Here is a 21,436-nt window from a genome sequence, read left to right on the forward strand (position 1 = left end):
ACACACACACACACACACAATTTACATGTGTTATCTGTTTCTCCTACAAAATACAAGCTGTATGAAGGTGGGGACTTGTTCACTGCCACGTTCCCAGCACCAGGCACTTAGCTGGTGCTCAGTAAATACATATTGATTGATGGAAGAAGTGAACACTCATGTGCAGGTTCCTACACTCAACGCCCTGTGGCATCTCAAGCACAGTAAAAGCTCTGGACCTAGTACCAGGGATGTAGCCAGAGGAGCTGAATCTCCATTTCCAGTGTTTCCTAGAGTGTGTCTTCCTGCACAGGGAGGCCGAGATACAGGACACTGAGGCCAGACGGCAGAGCAGGAAGCATGTGGCTGACATAGGGGTGACGTGCCAGAGCACTGCTGACCGCCGCTCCCTGCCAGAAGAGGATTAACAATAATCCCAACCATTCACCCAGAGCTTTACCGTTTACAAAAGTGTTGTCACATCCGATATTGCATCTGGGCCATACAGCTGCCCCAGAAGGTGAGCAGAGGGAGGACTATGATCCCCATTATACAGATGACAACCCCGAGGTGCTGAAGGTTAAGTGTCTGGCCTGTGGCTGCACAGCAAGTGGTTGAGCCAGGTGCCAAGCCAGGACTTCTCGTCCCACACCTGCCACTGGGTCCTGCCTAGAGCAATTTTTATCAAGTGAGACCTCTGGGACAGAATGGGCAAATTTCCATTGTCTGAACAAACCAAGTAAAAAAAACCATGAATCATTTATTCTTTGGTTGTCTACACAGACACTTAAGTACTGTATCGCTGTCATGCAGCGGCCTGTGGAGGCCCCTGGGGGTGGCTGGGCCTGTGTCCTGAGCCCTCAGCCAGATCCAGGGGGTGCGGTGTCTGGTCATGTCCACTCCAAGAGCAGTAGCACCATGTAGAAGGCTGTGAGCAGGGTCCCCTCGGCTGAGTGGCAGATGTAGGCTCACTGCTCTGCAGCCCCGAGGGGCTGGCCAGCTCAGAGTGCAGAAGAGTTCCTCTCCATGGGTCTAGTCACCCATCCGTCTGACCTGGACGCTGTCATAGCTCATCCTTGGGCTTCGATTCACTGCCTGAGAGAGACTCTTGTGCAGGTTCGGGGGGGCCCTGCTGGGCATCCAGGGGCTGCTCCTGGGAGAGGTCCATCTCTTCTGGGCTGAAGAGCATCTTCACCAGGTCATCTGCCTGCACCCTGTCCTGCAAGGACAAACCCCTGCCCATTCAGAGAGGCCTCCGCTCCAGACACTCGCTATCTCTCAGCTGCTACTTCCCAGGGGACAAGGAAGGTTCCTTAATGGCCCCAGGCTCATCTCCTTCCCAGCAGGTCCTACTCTCTGGAAAAGGACAGCTGAAGTGGGGCCCAAGGAGGGAACCAAGAACTCAGCATCGCTCCCTGTCTTGACCTCTTTCCCCACCTGGATCCCGTTCACAGCAGGCCCAGGGAGGACAAGGCAATGTGACCATAATGACAGGGCGTTGGAGCTGGTGTCCCAAGTGCTCCTTTCGTGTCTCAGCCACTGGCAATGGGATTTGGGGAAGAGAAAGGCAAACCAAGGGCGCTCTGGGAACGGGTCACCACAGCACCAGCTGCTCTCACCCGCTCGAGCTGCTCTCACCCGCTCGCTGTGTCGAGGGTCCAGGGTGAACCACAGGGCGATGGCACAGCGCTGCCCCCTGGTGACAGCCTTCACTCCATGTGGGTTTTCAGTGCCTGAAGAGAATCCCACGGCTCTTCCACACTGAGGCTGCACCTCTGCCTAAGGGGGACAGAAAGGGAGGGGGGTTGCACAGGACAAAGACTGTAATCCACTCTCAGAAGAGACATGGGCTCATTAGGGCTCACGACCGAGGGCAGCTCTTCAGTATGGCTTCCCTAAGACCAGAACTAAAGAGAAAGGGTGACTGGTTAGAGGAGTGATGGACACGTCTCAAAGCCCCTCTGGATGGGGGAAGGGTACCGCCCACTGGGAAGCCCAGTTGGTTATTTTTGTCCACTGCACTTTGGGAACATCAGCTGTAGAAAACAGACTTTTTATCTCCCAGGGACAAGGACAAGGGAGCACTCACCGTCACGGTCTTGGCATCCAGTTCAGTGAAATAAAAGTTTCCGCCATCGAAGTCCCCATTTAGGTAAAGGATGGCGCTGGGAAAGGCAGAGACATCTCATCATGGCCCTTCCCTGCCTCCCTTTCCCCTGAGCCTTCACCTCCAGGTGCTCTCAACCAGCAGCAGGAGGGTGGCTTTGTGTGGGAGGGAAACCTTTAAGAACCTATACTGATGCCGTACAAACTCCACCTTTCCACTCTCCACCCTCGCCTTAGAGTCCCCTGTGCCCACTCACACTACCGTTCTTGTCACACCACGATATGATTCCCTCTTTGCCTATCTTCTTATCCAGCGGGTTTGGGGATAAAGGATTGGACTCTGGGAACAGCTAGCCCCAACCAGTGTGTGTGTGCTAGGGTGGGGTAGTAGAGTGCAGGGCACTGTGGGGCCTCTGAGGAGGGCACAGACCTCCTCACCCTGCACCTGCCCCGCACTCACCTGTAGTCGCGGAAGGTGTAGGCTGGGGGCTCTTTGACACACACGAGGGTCTCGGCATTCAGGATGCAGTTGTCCACGTGGACTGGATGACTATCATCCTTCCTCTCTGCCTGGACCTCTGGGGCCAATGTCACACATGTTAGCAAGGGAGCACCTCGGGAGACGGCATAGCTCTCTTCTTGGCAGGGGAGGTGCTTCCCAAAATGTGTTTGAGTCTACGGAATGCCCAATGAACTAGGGGGGTGTCTTTGGCTAAGCCACAAGCCTAGGGGTCAGGACAAGTCTGCAGGCTTCCTAGGACAGTTCTTGGCAGAAGTGAGCAGGGTGTGGCAAGCAGGAATGAAGGGCTCCAACCAAGGGCAGATCCTGGGCAGAATGGCACAACCCTGGTTTGTAGCTGGACTTTACAAAATACAAAGGCCCAGGGAAGTGAGAATGAGGGATCAGGAGGTGGGACGGACGCAGGGCAGAGTGGGTCAGTCCTCCATCAGGACTGCAGGAGATGGGGCTGAGTGGCAGGAAGTGGGGCAGAGAAGAGCTGGCTAGCAAAGGGAAAGCATGAACTTCAGTGGGGCTCTGGGGTGGGGTGGGTGGAGAAACCATGCAGGGAGAAGGTCACGAAAGGGAACAGACCGGGCTCACTGTCAAATGCCAGGCAGACCACGTCTTTCCCCAACGCAAACCTTTGGCATGCTCTATGTAGGCACCGTCACGTCGTGGTGGGTGCCTCCTTCTCCATTCCCACTTGTCCAGCCAGTCACCAGGTCCTGTCCATCCACCTCCTGCACCTTCCCGGGGCCTCACTTCTCCCTCCTCCCACTGCCACTTCCTGAGTTTAGGGCTTTGCCCTTGTCCACAGAGGTCATTGCTGACCAGCTTCCCTTTTTGGTTTGAAATCTCTCCACACACACAGCAGCAAAATGAATCCTTTAAAAGTCAAGGCCTCACCACGTCCTTCACTGCTTGATGAGGCCTCCCTGGCCTCCTGGCACCTGTGCTTGTGCTCTCCCACCGGGGGCTTGTGACACACCCAGTTGTGTGTCTGACTGGTCCCTTTGGGTGTGCCCAGATTGTGACAGAATTCCAAACATTCTGAGGTAGAGGAAAGCCCTCTGATCTGTGCCACGTACCAATGGCCATCACTGCCAGGGGCCTGCTGGAGGCTCCAGTATGACAGAGCCGGCTCTGGGCCACATAGGATCCTTGCAGCACTAGCTGAACCTCTCCCCTTCTTGGACATGCAAAAGGGAATGTGGGTGGGCGAGGGAATGAGGAATAACCTCCAGGCCACTCTCACTTGTAAATCACGAAGCTCTCTCACAAATTTGGTATTTAACAATTAGTAAAAGAGAATCTGCCACATAGCTATGGTTGAGCTAAAGGATAAAAATTCCCTTGAATGTAGCTCTCCAGGATTTGGCACCTTTCTTAGTTCCCCTGACTACCAGGCTGCACAATGCCTCCACTCCTGTGCAAACACCATCCCACCACCCGGAGTACTCCGTAATCGTATTCATCCTGCAAAACTGCCATTGCTTCCTCTGGGAAGCCTTCTTTTTGTTGTTGTTGTTGTTGTTATTATTTTTGCTTTTAACAAGCCCTTCTGTTGAGGGCTGTCTTTCAACAGATGGCAGCGAGGGAGCTGCTCAGCTATGTATGAAACCCTAACCCGGAGGCAGGTCCTCTATGAATGGTTTAGCACCAGCTTCCCCATTAAAGTGCGTTGTGTGACAAGTGACGGGTGGCCCCCTTTCTGGCTGCACCCCATTTCCCTCTGGGAAGCCTTCTTGATCCCCAGGTAGGTTGACTATAACTTCCTCCATGCTACTGTGGCATGCATCACACTGGGATGCCACCCATGTATTTACATTGGTTCCCCAACTGAAGAAAAGGGACCGCATCCTGTTCTCTCTGTGTCTTCAGCATCCAGCACAGAGCTGAGGTACAGCATGCGGGGGCGGGTGCTGCAGGGGTAATGAGGCCCACCTTCGATGGCAGTGCGGCACACCAGATGAGAGTAGGAAAAGTAGAGGGGCGTATCCAGGCGGAAGTAGGACTCCATGATGCGCCGCACCTTCTCCGTCACGTTGTAGTACAGGTGGGCACTCTGCAGAGGAACTTTGCCTTCTTGCCCCAGCTGCCAAGGAGACAGATGGTCAGCTGCCCTCAACGACTGATATGGTTTGGCTCTGTGTCCCTACCCAAATCTTATCTTGTAGTTCCCATAATTCCCATGTGTTGTGGAAGGGACCTGGTGGGAGATGACTGAATAATGGGGGTGGATCTTTCCCGTGCTGTTCTCATAATACTGAATAAGTCTCACGAGATCTGGTGGCTTTAAAAAAATGGGAGTTTGCGTCCGGGAGGTGAGGGGCGCCTCTGCCCGGCCGCCCCTACTGGGAAGTGAGGAGCCCCTCAGCCCGGCCAGCCACCCCGTCCGGGAGGGAGGCCGGGGGGGGTGGTCGGCCAGCCGCCCCGTCCGGGAGGGAGGTGGGGGGGTCAGCCCCCCGCCCGGCCGGCCGCCCTGTCCGGGAGGTGAGGGGCGCCTCTGCCCGGCCGCCCCTACTGGGAAGTGAGGACCCCTCTGCCCGGCCAGCCGCCCCGTCCGGGAGGGAGGTGGGGGGGTCAGCCCCCTGCCCGGCCAGCCGCCCTATCCAGGAGGTGAGGGGCGCCTCTGCCCGGCTGCCCCTACTGGGAAGTGAGGAGCCCCTCTGCCTGGCCAGCCGCCCCGTCCGGGAGGGTGGTGGGGGGGTCAGCCCCCCGCCCGGCCAGCCGCCCCATCCGGGAGGTGAGGGGCGCTTCTGCCCGGCCGCCCCTACTGGGAAGTGAGGAGCCCCTCTGCCCAGCCACGACCCCGTCTGGGAGGTGTGCCCAGCGGCTCATTGGGGATGGGCCATGATGACGATGGCGGTTTTGTGGAATAGAAAGGCGGGAAGGGTGGGGAAAAAATTGAGAAATCGGATGGTTGCGGGGTCTGTGTGGATAGAAGTAGACATGGGAGACTTTTCATTTTGTTCTGTACTAAGAAAAATTCTTCTGCCTTGGGATCCTGTTGATCTGTGACCTTATCCCCAACCCTGTGCTCTCTGAAACATGTGCTGTGTCCACTCAGGGTTAAATGGATTAAGGGCGGTGCAAGATGTGCTTTGTTAAACAGATGCTTGAAGGCAGCATGCTCGTTAAGAGTCATCACCACTCCCTAATCTTAAGTACCCAGGGACACAAACACTGCGGAAGGCCGCAGGGTCCTCTGCCTAGGAAAACCAGAGACCTTTGTTCACTTGTTTATCTGCTGACCTTCCCTCCACTATTGTCCTGTGACCCTGCCAAATCCCCCTCTGCGAGAAACACCCAAGAATGATCAATAAAAAAAAAATAAATAAATAAATAAATAAATAAATAAAATAATAAAAAATAAAAAATAAAAAAATGGGAGTTTGCCTGCAGAAGTTCTCTCTTTGCCTGCTGCCATCCATGTAAGATGTGACTTGCTCCTCTTTGCCTTCCACCATGATTGTGAGGCTTCCCCAGCCACATGGAACTGTAAGTCCAAGTAAACCTCTTTCTTTTGTAAATTGCCCAGTCTCGGGTACGTCTTTATCAGCAGTGTGAAAACGGACTAACACAACGCCCCTCTTTAGGGGCCAGAGACAATGAGTACCAGGCCCATCCCACGTCCCCACACCCCCACTGAAGCTGCAGCCTCTGCTGCCCACGCCCAATACCCCTACTATATTCCTCTTCCTCCTGTCCTTCTTATCTCTCTTTATGAGCACACTGTGCATCCTGCACAGAAGCACAGCCCTCTAGAATCAGCCTTTCTAAAGAAAGCATTCTCATAGCTTTGGCGAACAGTCTTATCCTGCTCACTTTGTTTTGATTACACTCGGTCTAACAGGATTCAAAAGTGAACCTCACGCAACATAACTCATCCTCGCTTCCTGGCAACAAGAATGTTGGCAGGTGGACCCTCTTCACCTTTCCTGCCACCAGCCCCAACTCTTCCTCAAAGCCTGAGCTTCCCCCTTCCCCACCCCTTTCTCCACACTCTAGAATGCCCAGTGTTGATCTTACCTTGAGGGCTTTGAAGACAGTGACACCATAGAACTTTTCATTGGGAGTATGTGGGGAGGTCTGACCCCGGTAGCCATCTCCTGAGGTTGCTGCCACCTACAAGGCCCAAAACACAAGGTGATGTTAGCCAGGGCAGCTGAGGGCTTGAGAAGAGGTGGTCAACTGTGGCCAGGAAGAGGAAGGCGAAGGCTACCACCCAAGGGGCACTTGGTGGGGGGATGCTGGACCCTTGGGGGAAGGTGCAGTCACTGGGCTTCCCTTACATTGGTCAGTCTCTGCAGCTCCTGACACTCGTGGTCAGAGATTACGCCGTCCATCACCACCCGCTGGGAACCATTCAGGAGTTTGGAGTTCATGGTGAGACTGATGCCTTCATACAGCAGGGGGCCACCTGCAAAGCAATGACAAAACTCTAGCTAAATCTAGCAGCAGCTAGACCAAAGACTCTCCATTGGATATTGCCTCCTCGTCACAAATAGAAATTCCAGCTGTTTCCTTTTCACCAGCAAAATCTCCCGCTAGGTCATTTTCAAAGGTAGAATAGTCCAGAGGACAGAACATAGAGCTGAAAGATGAGATTCCCAGTCCCAGCTCCATGACCAAATAGCTGCTGGCTTTTGGGCCATGACACACTCTTGAGGAAACATCAGAAACACAATCCTAAAACATGAGCTCGGGAACGAGGAAGAACTGACTTTGACTCCTAGATCCTCCATTGATTAGCTGTGTGACCTTGGCAAGTTACTTAACCTCCCTGAGGTTAATTTTAATTAATTAAAATGTTCTCATCTGTCAAACAGCATCTACCTTATATGTTTGATGCCAGTATAATGTTAAGAACAAGGAAGGCAAGTTAAAAGCTTAGTACAATATTTGGCATATGGTAAGTCCTCAAAAGTTTGGCTACCATGGTATCATCATCATTATTCATTTAAAATAAGGATCTTGCAATCTGCATGACTCACCTCTCAGTTATAAGAATCAAGAGAAATAACAAAGTGAAAGTGGTCTGAAAACAAAGGAATGCTGGACAAATTCTTTTCATACGCTAATCTTGTTTAATTAACCACTGTTAATTTAAGCAACTATAGGGCAAAGGTCAACATTTCTCTCTTACAGTTCTCATGGTGTTTCTCTGTGCTAGGGACATACTAATACTAGAGACTCAGTTCAACTCCACTTGATAACTGAGGCCTCAGTGTGTACCAGGAACTGTGCCAGATAGGGTGAGAGATGAATCCTAGAAGACAGTACCTGTTCTCTAACAATTATGCAAATAACTAGCATAAGACAGACCATAAATGCCCTAAGAAGTTCAAAAGAAAGGAGGGGACTCCAATCATCTGGGAGGTTAAGAAAGGCTTTACGGCAGGGCACAGTGGCTTATGCCTATAATCTCAGCACTTTGGGAGGCCAGGGCGGGTGGATCACAAGGTCAGGAGTTTGAGACCAGCCTGGCCAACATGGTGAAACCCTATCTCTACTAAAAATACAAAAAAATTAGCCAGGCATGGTGCCACATGCCTGTAATCCCAGCTACTTGGGAGGCTGAGGCAGGAGAATTCCTTGATGATCCCGGGATGTGGAGGTTGCAGTGAGCCAAGATTGCACCACTGCACTCCAGCCTGGGCAACAGAGCAAGACTCCATCTCCAAAAAAAAAAAAAAGAAAGGCTTTGCAGGGTATATCTCAGATGCCCTCATGGGCAGGGATGGTGGGAAGCGTACTAGGAGAGCCAGGCATAAACACAGACTGGTGGGCAGTGGGCGGGCTCACGGAACAAAGTGCAGTCCTGTGTGAAGAGACGGTGTAAACAGGACAAGAGTAGAACATTCGGTTAAGGGGCAGGCACGGAGGATGGGTCAGAGGCCAGTGTCTGGAAGACTGGCCTAGCTACCTTGTGTGGGCAGGGGCAAGGACAGGCCAGACGGGGAAAGGGTGGGTGCAGATAGGAGGTGCCAGGGCCTGAAGGAAGCCTGAGGCAATGAAAAACGGAAAAGGCTGGGGAGAGAGCTGAGAAGCACTGCAGAGCAGAGCCACAATCAGTAGGCCTTCCCAGCAGCTTGCAGAAAACGGGCACAGGAGGAAGAGGAGCCAAAGGAGGCCTGAAGGCGTTGAGTCTCAGTAAAGGGACGAATGGTGAAAACCGGGAGAAAACAGTTTGGGAGTGGGGAGACAGGATGAGTTAATACCTATGGAAGTGGACAACACTAGTCACTCATGTTTCTGTGACACAGAAGTCTCATTTCTTTCTTTTTTTTTAAAGATGAGGTCTTGCTATATTGCCCAGGCTGGATTCAAACTCCTGGGCTCAAGCGATCCTCCTGCCTCAGCCTGCCAAGTAGCTGGGATTACGGGTGTGCACCACTACATCCTGGAGTCTGATTTCTGAGCCAAAGGCTGATTCTCAGTGCTCTTTCCAGCTGAAAGTCCCGCTGGTGAGTTAGGAAGGATGTCCACTGAACTTGCACCCTAAGGGTGGCTGGCTCATGGTGAGCTCTGCAATGCTGGGGTGGAGCGCTGCCTGGCAAATGTGGGGTGACCTGCCTGGCTCCCTGACAACAGCCAGACATGCCCCTATTTCTGTCCTCTCACCTTCCCGGGTCAGTCTGCTCACATCCAGTGACTCCTTGGTCTTCTCTTCCACAAGGGTCTCGATTTCCTTCATAAGGTTCCCAATCTCCTGGGAGATGCGTACGGCTGTTTCCCGTTCTGACCTATGAGCACAGCCGCTCTGAGGACTGCATTCCAGGGCCAGCCCTGGGCTCCACCCCGACTTCCCAAACTGGACCTGCCCACCCCTTGCCAGGAGTTCACATCTGCCTGGGCTCAGGAAGCCTCAAGTGCTTCATCAGACTGATCCAACCATGCAGTTTCTTCAAGGTCCTCACTTCTGTTTCTCTTGCAATCTCTTGGGAATCACTTCTTCTGGAGTCCATGAATCCTAAGTAGGTCAGGAAGAAATGAAAAAGGTAAGATGATCTACTTAATCTTCCAGGTGTCTCAATGCATAAAATAAGGCCCACAGGAGTAATCCAGCTTATCACCCTCTTCCTTTCAGGAGACAAAATGGGAGGTTTCCACATCTAAGTCCCTTCTAGCTGCCCAGTGTTCCCCTTTCATCTGTCTCTCATCCCTGCCTTGCACAGATCCCAGGCTAGGCTCAGCCTCCAGCAAGTTTTCTCTCAGAATCGCACAGTGTTCCCCTCCTCCCCATTCATCTCTCCTGCTCACTCTTTCCCCGCTCCCTTCCGGCTCCTGTACCCTAGCTCACCGGATCCACAAAGGGAATTCCAAAAACATCATAAGCGAAGAAAAGCAGTTCTTTTTCCAGTAGGCTTCGCTGTCGGTACTCCTTGGCACTCTGAGGGTAAAAAAGCAAACAAATCCCCCAGAACTCAGCCCTGTCTTTTAACCTCTGGGAGTTCCCCTCCCTGGCACCCCACACTGATGCTCCCATGTGACCTGAGGCCTCCTCTCCCTACCAATGCTCTCTGTCTGTTCCCCAGTTTGAGACAAAAGTCTAATTTCTGTGTCCTCTGCCTGGCACAAGCAACAGTACCTCTGAGGTACTGGAATAACCAGGCTTTCCTTAAGGGAAAAAGCCCTGCTCCTCCCCCATCCCAACCCCCATTAGTCTCTAGGACAGATAATCTGATGATTCTCAAAAGTGGAAATATTCTTCAAAGAAGGAGAATTCCTTCTTGACTTCTACAGGAGTCCACAAAGCAGGAAAAGGAATCAGGCATTAGGCAACTGACATGTTATTCATTTGATCTTTTATAGCCACATCTGAGGTTGATACTAGTATGCTCATTCTACAGAGGAAGCATCTGAGGCACAGAGGAGATGTACCACTGTCTAAGGTGACACTACAGGACATGGGAGAGCAGCGACCTACAGTCAAACCCAGGTCTTCTGTTATCTTTTTCTTTTTTTTCATAGCAGAATGTGCATTTGGACAGATAAAGCCGGGTCTTTACAGTCCTAAAGCCCATGTGCTTTCTGCTCTGCCACCTGCCTCCTCTCAGACCCTAACCAGACCACACCCCTCCCTGAGGATAAGCAGCTAAAGGGGAGGGCCTGGCACTCTGGGCTTCCCACATGGACTCCCAGGCAAGGCTTACCCAGGGCAGGGAAACTGAGTACTTTCCGGGGTCACATCTTTCCCTAGGTGCCCTGCTAATCTCCAAGCAGCAGGAGGAGGAAGGAAGAGAAAAAGGAGACATCAGTTGAAATAAAACATGAGGCAGTTCAAGGAGGAATTAAAGGAGTCAATGAATCCTATGTCATCTACTATATTTACCTAAGAGGAAGAGAGACGTTTTCTCTTCAGGAGTTTACATTACTGGCTTCTGTCACCAAATGCTATGTTATCTCATTTAACCCTCTCCAATGACCCTATAAGGCTGCTATGAAGCAAACCCCACTTCCATCTTTATTCATTCGATGCTGATTTACTGAGTGTCAGCCATGTGTCTGGAGCTGTGCCTGCACTGGGTCCAAGCAGGGAACAGATTCCGGTCACCACTGACTGGCCACAAGCCACTGCACAAGTTACTTCATCTCTCAGATGCTAACAGTCCTCATCCCTAAAGTGGGAAGAAGAGTGCCAACCTTGCAGGGTGGCTGTGATGATTAAATGAGATGATGGATACAGCCCACCCCGCACAGAGCTTCGCCTGGACAGCGGCTCAACAAATGTTAGTTGCCTTCTTTCCAAAAGGGGACTTCTAGTTAAAAATGCTAGATTGGCCACGTGGGTTTATTTCCCCTCACTCCCCTCAGACTCCCCTTAATGGCCATAAGGAAGGCAGGGAAAAGGTATTAACCAAACAAGACAAAAGAGACCGGAAGTGCCATCTTAAAGCCAGATGGTCACCATCTAGTGGCTAAAGAGGACAACTACAATGACAACCCACACAGGAGGGGCAGCAAGAGGCTGTTTCTACTGGAGGCTCTCAGACTCCAGAGCTCGGAAGAAGAGCCTGGGTGTCTCCTTTCAGCGCAGCAGTCTTTGTGTTATACAGATATTTCTCCTGGTTTTGGAGAGAGACAGGGAAAATGCTGAAAGATGGGAGAGAACAAACAATGGCAGGAAGAAGAAGAGATGGGAAAGAAAATGGAGACAGAAAACAGGTGAGCAGAAAAAAAACAACCAGTATTAAGTGAAAAATGATAGCTCTTGGCCAAATAATATCGAGTGTCCAAGTTAGGGGTGCCAAGAGGGGAAAGAATATGCTCACCGCGCAGTTCTGCGGGACTCAGAGAATAGACTTCTGGGCCCAGATAACGCTAATTGAGGCTCCTGTGTACTCCCCACACTCCCTCCCTGTGCTCCCTTCTCCTCTGAATAACAAGCCGAGTGACTGAACTCACATCTGGCCCCAACACTGACATCTGGCCCCTGCCCTGCACGCACAGCGCCTACTCCCCTCTGCTACCCCACTCTTCCGCCCTCAGGTCTGAGTTCAGCTGGCAGCTGTCATAACAGAAGGAAGTCTCTCACCTCACGGGGGCCGATGGATCTGGTGTGTTCTTCTCCAAGCATAGCTGCATAATAGGCCAAATTTTGGTTCATCACCTCGTCATTGGGGAAGAAGAGAAGATAGGTCTTGGCACATTCAACAGCCTGTGTATAATTCCCAACTGCAAAGTGGAAAGAAGAATGGCTGAGAGGAAAGAGTCAAAAGGAAAGGATAAAATCCTAGCACCAGGGACCACTTAGTGTTCAGTCTCCACAAAGCTTGAGGCAATGGCAGCATGACAAGCTGGTGCCTGCTACTTAACATGATGGCCTGATTTCAGGGGCAGGAGTTAAGTAATACACATAGAATGTGTGATTAATTTTAAGGTGAGGTGGTCAATGTCCTCAGGGCTGCCTAACAATGAAACAGAAAAGAATCAGAATTCTCTGCATGCCCACATCTTTTAAGATTCACAAATAATTCCAATACTCCTTAATATTTTGCCTCAATACACTCAATCATTAGATCAATTTCCCTGTCTTCCTACCTTCTTTTTTCTATAGATTTTCAGAAGACAAGGAAGATTACAATAGCAGATTGTCTCTTTGGCAAAATAGTTCTTGTTGATATTTGTTAGTCATCTCAACTCAACTGTAAATATTGTACACTCATCAATATGTTTGTAATGCTTAGCACACAGTAGGGACTCTGCAAAGAGTTGGTTTTCTGGGTATTAATTGGCAGCCCCACAAAAGCATCAGTGCTATACCAGGGAGAGGGCTAGCAAATGTCCTCTGAGCTAGTTTAAACTGTGGCATACCCTTATTTTGCTATTAACTTTAATTCAAAAGCAAAAATAGATTACAAGTTATAGAAGGGACAAGAGATGAGGTCCTAAGTCTCCCTCCCCCAGCTTTTTGGGTTGCTGGTATTGGCTTCCTAGGCCAGTTGTTTATAACAAACTACCCAGGGATCACTTGGCATGGTGCCTCCCATAGCTACTGAAATAAGCCAAACACCTTGAGGAAGTAAGTGGCTGTAATCCCTGCCCACCTTGCCTTTAGCTTCTTAGTTAGCCAGCAGAGAAAGAGGAAGGAAAGTAGGCCTTACTGTTATAGTAGGCAAACTGCAGATAATTATAATGCGATGGGAGGAAGTCTTCAAAGGGCTTCTCTCGACTTGGGTGGGAAGCAAGCTCCGTGACACAGTTCTGCTTACAGTTGAGGACCTGGATGTAATGATCTGAAAGGAATCAAACAGAAGGAATAACTATGAGGTCACTCTTTAGAACTCAAATTCTGGTTAAGATGAACAAATTCAAATGGAAGCAATTTTTCATCAGCTTCTCAGATTTAATAAATTGAGGAATGAGGGTGAAGAGTCCCCATTTATATTATCAGATGGTGACCTTAGAGTCCCAGGAGGCCTGGCTGAAGGTCTGGCTCTGAACTGCACGCACCTGTGATGGCCTGGAAGAGGTCAGCGTTGTACTCAAGGTAGTTGTAGCCATCGTAGTCATAGGGCCCTTCGCAGAGGGCACGGCACTCCTCATAGGCCACAAAGTATTCTTGCAGCGCCGCCTCTAGGTGGGGCACAGCTTCCTGTGGCTGTTCCTCTGAGTAGAGTCGCACTCCCAGTCGAAATTCTTGCTACTGGGAAGAAGGAGCACTCAAATGCAGGCCACAGAGGAGGAACCCTCTCTCCTTGCCCTCAGCCACCTTCACAGGGGTCCTAATTTCCTGTTCCTCAGGTTATGGATGGAAAGGGGTGACCTGGGTACCACTATAAAATGAAGGCCTTTTGTAAATGGTCTTTACAAAATATTTAGCTCTGGAAATTTAAAAACATTTAGCTCTTTTTTTCTTTTTTTGAGACAGAGTCTCACTCTGTTGCCCAGGCTGGACTGCAGTGGCACAATCTCAGCTCACTGCAACCTCCACCTCCTGGGTTCAAGTGATTCTCTTGCCTCAGCCTCCCTAGTAGCTGGGATTACATTGTGCCCAGCTAATTTTTGTATTTTAGTAAAGACGGGGTTTCACCATGTTGGCCAGGCTGGTCTCCAACTCCTAACCTCAAGCAATCCTCCCAACTCGGCCTCCTAAAGTGCTGGGATTACAGGTGTGAGCCACTGTGCCTGGCCAAAAAACATTTAACTCTTAATCTAGATGAAAGATATCTAGGAGTTCATTATGATTTTCTTGTACTTTTCTTCCCCCCCCATTAGTGACAGATTCTTGCACTTTTTTTTTTTTTTTTTTTTGAGTCGGAGTTTCACTCTTGTTGCCCAGGCTAGAGTGCAATAGTGCGATCTTGGCTCACTGCAACATCCGCCTCCAGGGTTCAAGCAATTCTCCTGCCTCAGCCTCCAGAGTAGCTGGGATTACAGGTATGCGCCACCACGCCTGGCTAATTTTGTGTTTTTAGTAGAGATGGGGTTTTGTCATGTTGGTCTGGCTGGTCTTGAACTGCTGACCTCAGGTGATCTGCCCGCCTCGGCCTCCCGAAGTGCTGGGATTACAGGCATGAGCCACCGTGCCTGGCCTAGGTTCTTGCACTTTTTTGTAGGGCTAACAGTTTTCAAATAAACACAACTTACTTTTTGTTTTGTTTTGTTTTGAGACAGAGTTTTTTTTTGAGACAGACAGCCCAGGCTGGAGGGCAGTGGCATGATCTCAGCTCACTGTAACCTCCACCTCCTGGGTTCAAGTGATTCTAGCGCCTCAGCCTCCTGAGAAGCTGGGATTACAGACATACACCACCACACCTGGTTAATTTTTGTATTTTTAGTAGAGACAGGATTTCACCATGTTGGCCAGGCTGGTCTTGAACTTCTGGCCTCAAGTGATCCACTCACCTCGGCCTCCCAAAATTCTGGGATTACAGGCATGAGCCACCACGCCCGGCCAACACAACTTACTTTTTTTTGTGTGTGTGATGGAGTCTCGCTCTGTCACCCAGGCTGGAGTGCAGTGGCACAATCTCGGCTCACTGCAACCTCCGCCTCCTGGGTTCAAGCGATTCTTCTGCCTCAGGCTCCTGAGTAGCTGGGAATACAGGCACACACCACCACGCTCAGCTAATTTTTGTATTTTTAGTAGAGACAGGGATTCACCATGTTAGGCAGGACGGTCTCAATCTCCTGACCTTGTGATCCGCCCGCCTTGGCCTTCCAAAGTGCTGGGATGACAGGTGTGACCCACTGCACCTGGCCACAACTTACTTTTAAAAGTCATTCTTTTTTTTTTTTTTTTTTTGACTGTTGCTCTGTCACCCAGGCTGGAGTGCAGTGGCACAATCTTGGCTCACTGCAACCTCCACCTTCCAGGTTCAAGCTATTCTCCTGCCTCCATGTCGAGTAGCTGGGATTACGGGTGCATGCCACCATGCCTGGCTAATTTTTGTATTTTTAGTAGAGATGGGGTTTCACCATATTGGCCAGGCTGGTCTCAAACTCCTGACCTTAAGTGATCCACCCACCTCGGCCTCCCAAAGTGCTGGGATTACAGGTGTTAGCCACTGCGCCTGGCCTATAAGTCATTCTTATATTGTTTCTAACATTCCTATTTTATAATTAAAATGTAAGGAACCATAAACTCTCTATAAAATGCTATATCATCACAGACAGTCCCTCCTTTGGAACTTTTCCTGCTAAACAAATAGAATGAGAACATTGAAGGATACTGTAACATTTATTGTAGTGAAAATCAAAAACATACATGACCAAAAAAATGTGACTAGTGAATTAATATAGTCTCTGCATAAGATGGACTATCATGCAGCCATAAACAATTATGTTTTCAAATAAAACTGAAGACATGAGAAAAGACTCATGATAATAATGTTAGTTAAAAAATGATGATGGGGCTGGCCATGGTGGCTCACACCTGCAATCCCAGCACTTTGGGAGCCCAAGGCAGTAGGATCGCTTGAGGCCAGGAGTTTGAAATCAGCCTGGGCAACACAGTGAGACCCCGTCTCTACAAAAAATAAAAACAATAGCTGGGTATGGTGGTGCATGCCTCTAGTCCCAGCTATTTGTGGGGCTGAGGCGGGAGGATCACTTGAGCCCAGGAGGTCAAGGCTGCAGTGAGCTATGATCACACCATTGCACTGCAGCCTGGACAACAAAGTGAGACCCTGCCTCAAAAAAAATAAAAAAGATGATAAAAAATGCATACATGATATAACACCAAATTAGATGAAAAAATTATATACGGAAGACTTAAAAAATAGGGCAAAATATAAACTGGTTTTCTTAAGGTGGCGGTATTACAAATGATTACTTTTTATTTTATACTTACCTACATTTCTACAATGTTATACAATGAACATTCATTACTTCTGTAATGTAATTAGAAAACAACCTTAGTAATGTCATTTAAAAAAAAACAAAAGAATGCATGCCTGTAGTCCCAACTACTCAGGAGGCCGAGACTAGAGGGTCTCTTGAGTCCGGGAATTTGAGGTTACAGTGAGCTATGATCAAGCCACTGCACTCCAGCCTGGGTGACAGAGCAAGACTCTGTCTCTAAAATAAATTTAAAAAGAAAGAAAGAAAGAAGGGGATAAAGTTTTTTTCACCATATGGGGTTGAGTCTCAAGATCCTTGAAGTCGGCCTCCTTCACTCCAGACATGGTTTGGTAATAGTCTAGGTTCTGCTGCATTTCCATGTGCTCAGGATTGCCCACGAAGAAGGTGTGTGCTGCAGCAACAGCTTTCTCCAACTTGTTGATCTAAGAATGAAGCATGAGAAGGTGGATAATGCTCACATCCAATCTCTGAACGTTTGTGTCCACATGAGCAGTCCACATAAACAGGAAATCCCTGCCTCCCTGAGCCCTCCACTCAGCGTGCCCAGCCCCTGCCAGCCCCAGGAAGCACACCTATTGCAGGAACTACCCACGACAGATTAGGAGCATAGTGCCCTGGGCAGATTTGTAGCTCTTTCCCAAGTCAGATTTAGGGGTTCCCCAGATTACAGGAAGTAGCAATGTTCCATTTTAAAACAAAGGTCATATTGTATGGGGAGTGCTGTGAAAGACTGACTGCCCACATAATATGTTTTCATGCTGGGTGCGGTGGCTCAGGTCTGTAATCCCAGCATTTTTAGAGGCCGAGGCAGGTGGATCACTTGAGCTCAGGAGTTCAAGACCAGTCTGGGCAACATGGTGAAACCCTGTCTTTACGAAAAATACAAAAATTACATGGTACTATATGCCTGTAGTCCCAGCTACTCTGCAGGCTGAGGTGGGAGGACGCTTGGGCCTGGGAAGCAGAGGTTGCAGTGAGCCAAGATGGTGCCACAGCACTCCAGCTTGGGTGACACAGCAGGACCCTGACTCAAAAAAAAAAAAATACATATATATATTTCATGAATCAAATGTAATGCCTGAGCTGAAGAAATTCTGTGGCTTCAAGGATTTAGGGGTAGAGAAAAAAGAGCAGCTAACAGACTATGCCTAAGAATTTTCCTAGAAAAAAATTTTTTTTTGCATAAAATAAAATGAAGAATTTTTGAGACATTTAGGGAAAAGGTGGATGGCTAAAAATTCTAAGGTCCTTTACTAAGTCCAGACATAGTATTTTCTGACTCAAAGCTCAGGGCTCATGAGGTTCAAACAAATAGCTCTAAGAAATCTGAGGGGGTGGTCGGGGGCGGTAGCTCATGCCTGTAATCCCAGCACTTTGGGAGGCCGAAGGGGGCAGATCTCTTGAGGTCAGGAGTTTGAGACCAGCCTGGCCAACATGGTGAAACCCCGTCTCTACTAAAAATACAAAAATTAGCTGGGCGTTGTGGCGCACACCCGTAATCCCAGCTTCTTGGGAGGCTGAAGCAGGAGAATCGCTTGAACCCGGGAGGCGGAGGTTACAGCGAGCCGAGATCACAGCACCATACTCCAGCCTGGGTGACAGAGCGAGACTCTTGTCTCAAAAAAAAAAAAAAAAAAAAAAAAAAAAGAAATCCAAGGGGGGAGAAATAGGCTACAGACCACAATGCCCACAGCAATGGACTCCAGCATGTCAAAGTAACACAGGTTTCATATATAGAATCCAACCAAATAAATCACTGATGATCTAGTAATTAACTATGTGGACACTGGTATCAAAGAGACCAGCCGTGGCCAGGCACGGGGGTTCACGCCTATAATCCCAGCACTTTGGGAGGCTGAGGCGGGCGGATCATGAGGTCAGGAGTTTGAGACCAGCGGATCATGAGGTCAGGAGTTTGAGACCAACAATAGCTGGGCGTGGTGGCATGTGCCTGTAATCCCAGCTACTCAGGAGGCTGAGGCAGGAGAATCGCTTGAACCCAGGAGGCGGAGGTTGCAGTGAGCCGAGATCGCACCATTGCACTCTAGCTTGGGCAACAAGAGCGAAACTCCGTCTCAAAAGAAAAGAGGGCTGGGTGCGGTGGCTCACGCCTGTAATCCCGCACTTTGGGAGGCCGAGGCAGGTGGATCACAAGGTCAGGAGATCCAGACCATCCTGGCCAATATGGAGAAACCCCATCTCTACTAAAAATACAAAAATTAGCCGGATGTGATGGCACGTGCCTGTAATCCCAGCTACTCGGGAGGCTGAGGTAGGGGAGTCACTTGAACCAGAAAACCAGAAGTCAGAGGTTGCAGTAAGCCAAGGTCGCCACTGCACTCCAGCCTGGCAACAGCGAGACTCCATCTCAAAAAAAAAAAAAAAAAAAAAGAAAGAAAGAAAAGAGACAGGCCAGCATCACATCTGGGCTTAATGACTCACTGACTGGCTGGGCAGTAGACAAGATACTTAAAGTTTACTTTCTAAACTCAGTTTCCCTAATCTATCATCTGGAGATAGCATTCTCTAGCTATCTCCTAGCATTGTTGAGAGTTCAACGAGATAATATGCAGCCTGTAATACATGGTGCTGGGCACAGATTAAGTGCTCAATAAATTTTAGGTGGTATGATTAATATGCTAAGAAAACTTATTTTCTTATCATTGGTACTAGTAAAGGCACACTAAAGGAGTCAGCCCTGGTTAGGTGACCCAAGGTAAATAACTCCCCATCTCTGTACCTCAGTTTCTTTAACTGTAAAATTAGAAATTTTTTCAGGTCTGTCCCTTTCATGGAATTACTCTAGCTCTTGTGTCTTTCAGCGCTGCTCCTGCCTTTCTCTGTTCTCCCTCATGTCCTCACTCCTCTCTCCACCCCCAGCCTTCTTTACTCTCTAAGCACTGAGGTACTTAACCTCCTCTCTTGTGGACAAATGTCTGCCTCCTAATCAAGTGCCACCACTTTCTCCTTCTTCCAAGGCTCATTCACCATGGCTTCCAGAATAAGCGTTTTAAAACCCAAATCTGAGGATGGCTCCCTGCAGTCCGCAGAATTCTCTTCCAAATCTGGCCTCACTGACTTTTCTAGCCGCCTCTCCTACTACTCCCCACACACATCTCGACATTGCAATCACAAGAGTTCATTTTTTTTCCTGAATACATCATGCTTTGGTTCTACTTTTCTCTCTATCTGGAGGAGCCTTCTTTCCTCTCCCCCTGGCAATACTTAGGGCAGGCTTCAATATTACCTCTTCTTTGAAGTCTAATTTCTCTGAGATAAAGCTAGAGTCTCCCTCCTTTGTGCTCCCGCAGCCCTAAGTATATGCCCTTGCAGTAGCCCTTACTACAGTAACTCTTAACAGCAAAGCAAGACAAAGCAAAGACGTTAGTCGAGCATTTAATTACTTGTACAAGAACTGGAATGCAGTAGGTATGCAATACATGTTTGTCAAATAGTTTTAGAAAGTGCTATGATGAAGCGACATAACCAAAGACATAACGCAATTATTTTGATTTCAAGTCCAGCGCTCTTCCGAGTAACTAGGAAAAATGAGGGGAACTGTGTAGGCAGAATGCTGTGGAGGGGTGGAAATCTGAGGTCCCCAAGAGTCTCTAAGTGTCTCTTTAGATCGAATCGAAGGTCTTTTAAACAACAGATATACCAGATATAATGCACAACTCTTTCTCCCCCCACCCCCAATACAGTGGGACTAATAACAGCATCTACCTGACAAGATATTATGAAGATTAGGGCAAATGCGTTAATAAATGCAAACTGCTTAAAATAGTGCCTGGAAGTATGTGCTGGCTATCATCATCATCATCATCGTCACCATCACCACCACCAAACAAGCCTGGAACGCTCCAAGCCCAAGTGTACACTTGGACACATGGCACTCTGGCATTCCGAAAAATACTCATTTTCTTTGTAAACCTGGCAGACTAGCCAGAGGGTCCCCCCCCCGCCCCCACACACACACAGAAAGGGCCAGGCAGCCCCTGCTGGCGACGTGGCAACCTCACATCCTGAAAGAGAGCTGCTGAATCAAACAGCAGGAAAAGCACCACTGGAAAACCAACCGGAAGGGAGATATTGTAGACCGCTACTAGCTTCTCACTCGGACACTTACAATGACATCAGAATGGGAGACCCAAACTGCCGCTTTAATTCCTTCCAGGAGATTTCCCAGGGAACAAAATGGCCATGAGTTTTGCTTGGCCTGTGCCCTAACCCCAGGCTGGACCTTTGGGGTTAGCATCTGCCCATGCGAACTGGGCGAGGAAGGTCTCCTGCCAGGGAGCAGCTCTCCCCGGCTCCGAGGAGAGCTCCCCAGCCAGGAGGCCACTTTCCCCTCCCTGCGGACACTTCCCCGATCCCCCAAGCTCCTCAGGTCCCCTGCAACACTCCTCTCCCCAGAAGGACCCCGGCCGCCTGGTTCCAGGCAGGTCTGCACCTTGAAGTAGGCGACCTGCAGGTAGTTGTAGGGGCTCCGCTTGCGGAACTCCAGCTCCATCTCTTCGCTGAGCGAGTGGGCGGCCGGCGGCCCGAGGCAGCGGCGCAGGCAGGCAGCGCGACGCAGAAGGCCCCCGAAGAAGCTCAGGTCGCGCAGGGCGGCGGCGCCCGAGGCCTGGGCCGGGCTGGGGGACCAGTCGGGGTCCAGCTCCCACGGGAAGTCGGCGGCACACTGGGTGCGGCAGCGCAGGCGAAGGGCGCGGAGGGCTGCCCGGGAGCGCAGCGCCCGTTCCATGCTCAGGACCACCCCGGGCCAGTCCCCGCGCGCGTAGGCTGCGGTCCCCTCGGCGAAGAGCAGATCAGGCGTCACCATGCCCCATCCTGCCTCGGACTCGACCTCGGCTTGGGAGGCAGCGGCCACGACAGCCAGCAGTGTGGTCAGCAGCTTCAACGCGCGTACCGCCATCGCTCCCTCAGACCTAACGGAACCGCCAGCCACCCGCCACCAAGGCCGGAGTCCTACCCCCGGCGAAGGCCCGCCCCCGGGCGAAGCCCCACCTTCCAAGCCGGGCGGCGCATGCCCAC

At 50.1% G+C, this 21,436-nt stretch overlaps 1 protein-coding gene across 8 annotated transcripts, besides 3 other annotated features; it reads right to left on the minus strand.

Annotated features, from left to right (window-relative positions):
* On the minus strand, nt 720-21,374 carry P3H1 (prolyl 3-hydroxylase 1). Of its 8 annotated transcripts, none has more exons than NM_022356.4 (15): nt 20,853-21,374; nt 16,669-16,821; nt 13,547-13,736; nt 13,198-13,329; nt 12,129-12,268; nt 9,894-9,983; nt 9,511-9,563; nt 9,215-9,336; nt 6,883-7,010; nt 6,620-6,715; nt 4,532-4,682; nt 2,546-2,663; nt 2,069-2,144; nt 1,618-1,758; nt 720-1,198 (listed from the first exon to the last, which is right to left on the minus strand). In NM_022356.4, exons 1-15 carry the CDS (start codon nt 21,315-21,317, stop codon nt 1,043-1,045), a joined length of 2,211 nt encoding a protein of 736 aa, NP_071751.3. In that variant the 5' UTR covers nt 21,318-21,374; the 3' UTR covers nt 720-1,042. The 8 variants fall into 8 exon arrangements, 7 of the variants coding, with proteins under 7 accessions (NP_071751.3, NP_001139761.1, XP_047283572.1 ...); NM_001146289.2 differs by having other exon boundaries at nt 1,599-1,758; XM_047427616.1 differs by having other exon boundaries at nt 1,417-1,758.
* Nucleotides 5,326-5,990: an enhancer, noted in NCBI's record as "OCT4-NANOG-H3K27ac-H3K4me1 hESC enhancer chr1:43216651-43217315 (GRCh37/hg19 assembly coordinates)". NCBI's record gives its function as "activates a minimal SCP1, AML or CMV promoter by ChIP-STARR-seq in naive and primed H9 embryonic stem cells {active_cell/tissue: H9 hESC(naive and primed)}" and the evidence as "EXISTENCE:reporter gene assay evidence [ECO:0000049][PMID:30033119]".
* Nucleotides 20,633-20,752: an enhancer, noted in NCBI's record as "active region_896". NCBI's record gives its function as "activates an Ori minimal core promoter by ATAC-STARR-seq in GM12878 lymphoblastoid cells {active_cell/tissue: GM12878}" and the evidence as "EXISTENCE:reporter gene assay evidence [ECO:0000049][PMID:35858748]".
* Nucleotides 21,013-21,122: a silencer, noted in NCBI's record as "silent region_767". NCBI's record gives its function as "represses an Ori minimal core promoter by ATAC-STARR-seq in GM12878 lymphoblastoid cells {active_cell/tissue: GM12878}" and the evidence as "EXISTENCE:reporter gene assay evidence [ECO:0000049][PMID:35858748]".

The sequence above is a fragment of the Homo sapiens genome, chromosome 1 (genome assembly GCF_000001405.40).
Source record: "Homo sapiens chromosome 1, GRCh38.p14 Primary Assembly".
NCBI classification, from domain to species: domain Eukaryota; kingdom Metazoa; phylum Chordata; class Mammalia; order Primates; family Hominidae; genus Homo; species Homo sapiens.

What these genes read in the sequence shown, in the direction of transcription:
- P3H1 (NM_001243246.2), bottom strand. Translation starts at nt 21,317, where the DNA reads ATGGCGGTACGCGCGTTGAAGCTGCTGACCACACTGCTGGCTGTCGTG. An exon ending in TGCAGGTCGCCTACTTCAAG is followed by an intron (nt 16,822 to 20,852) that starts GTGCAGACCTGC and finishes CTTCATTCTTAG; the next exon opens with ATCAACAAGTTGGAGAAAGC. An exon ending in GATCCATCGGCCCCCGTGAG is followed by an intron (nt 9,984 to 12,128) that starts GTGAGAGACTTC and finishes TTTTACCCTCAG; the next exon opens with AGTGCCAAGGAGTACCGACA.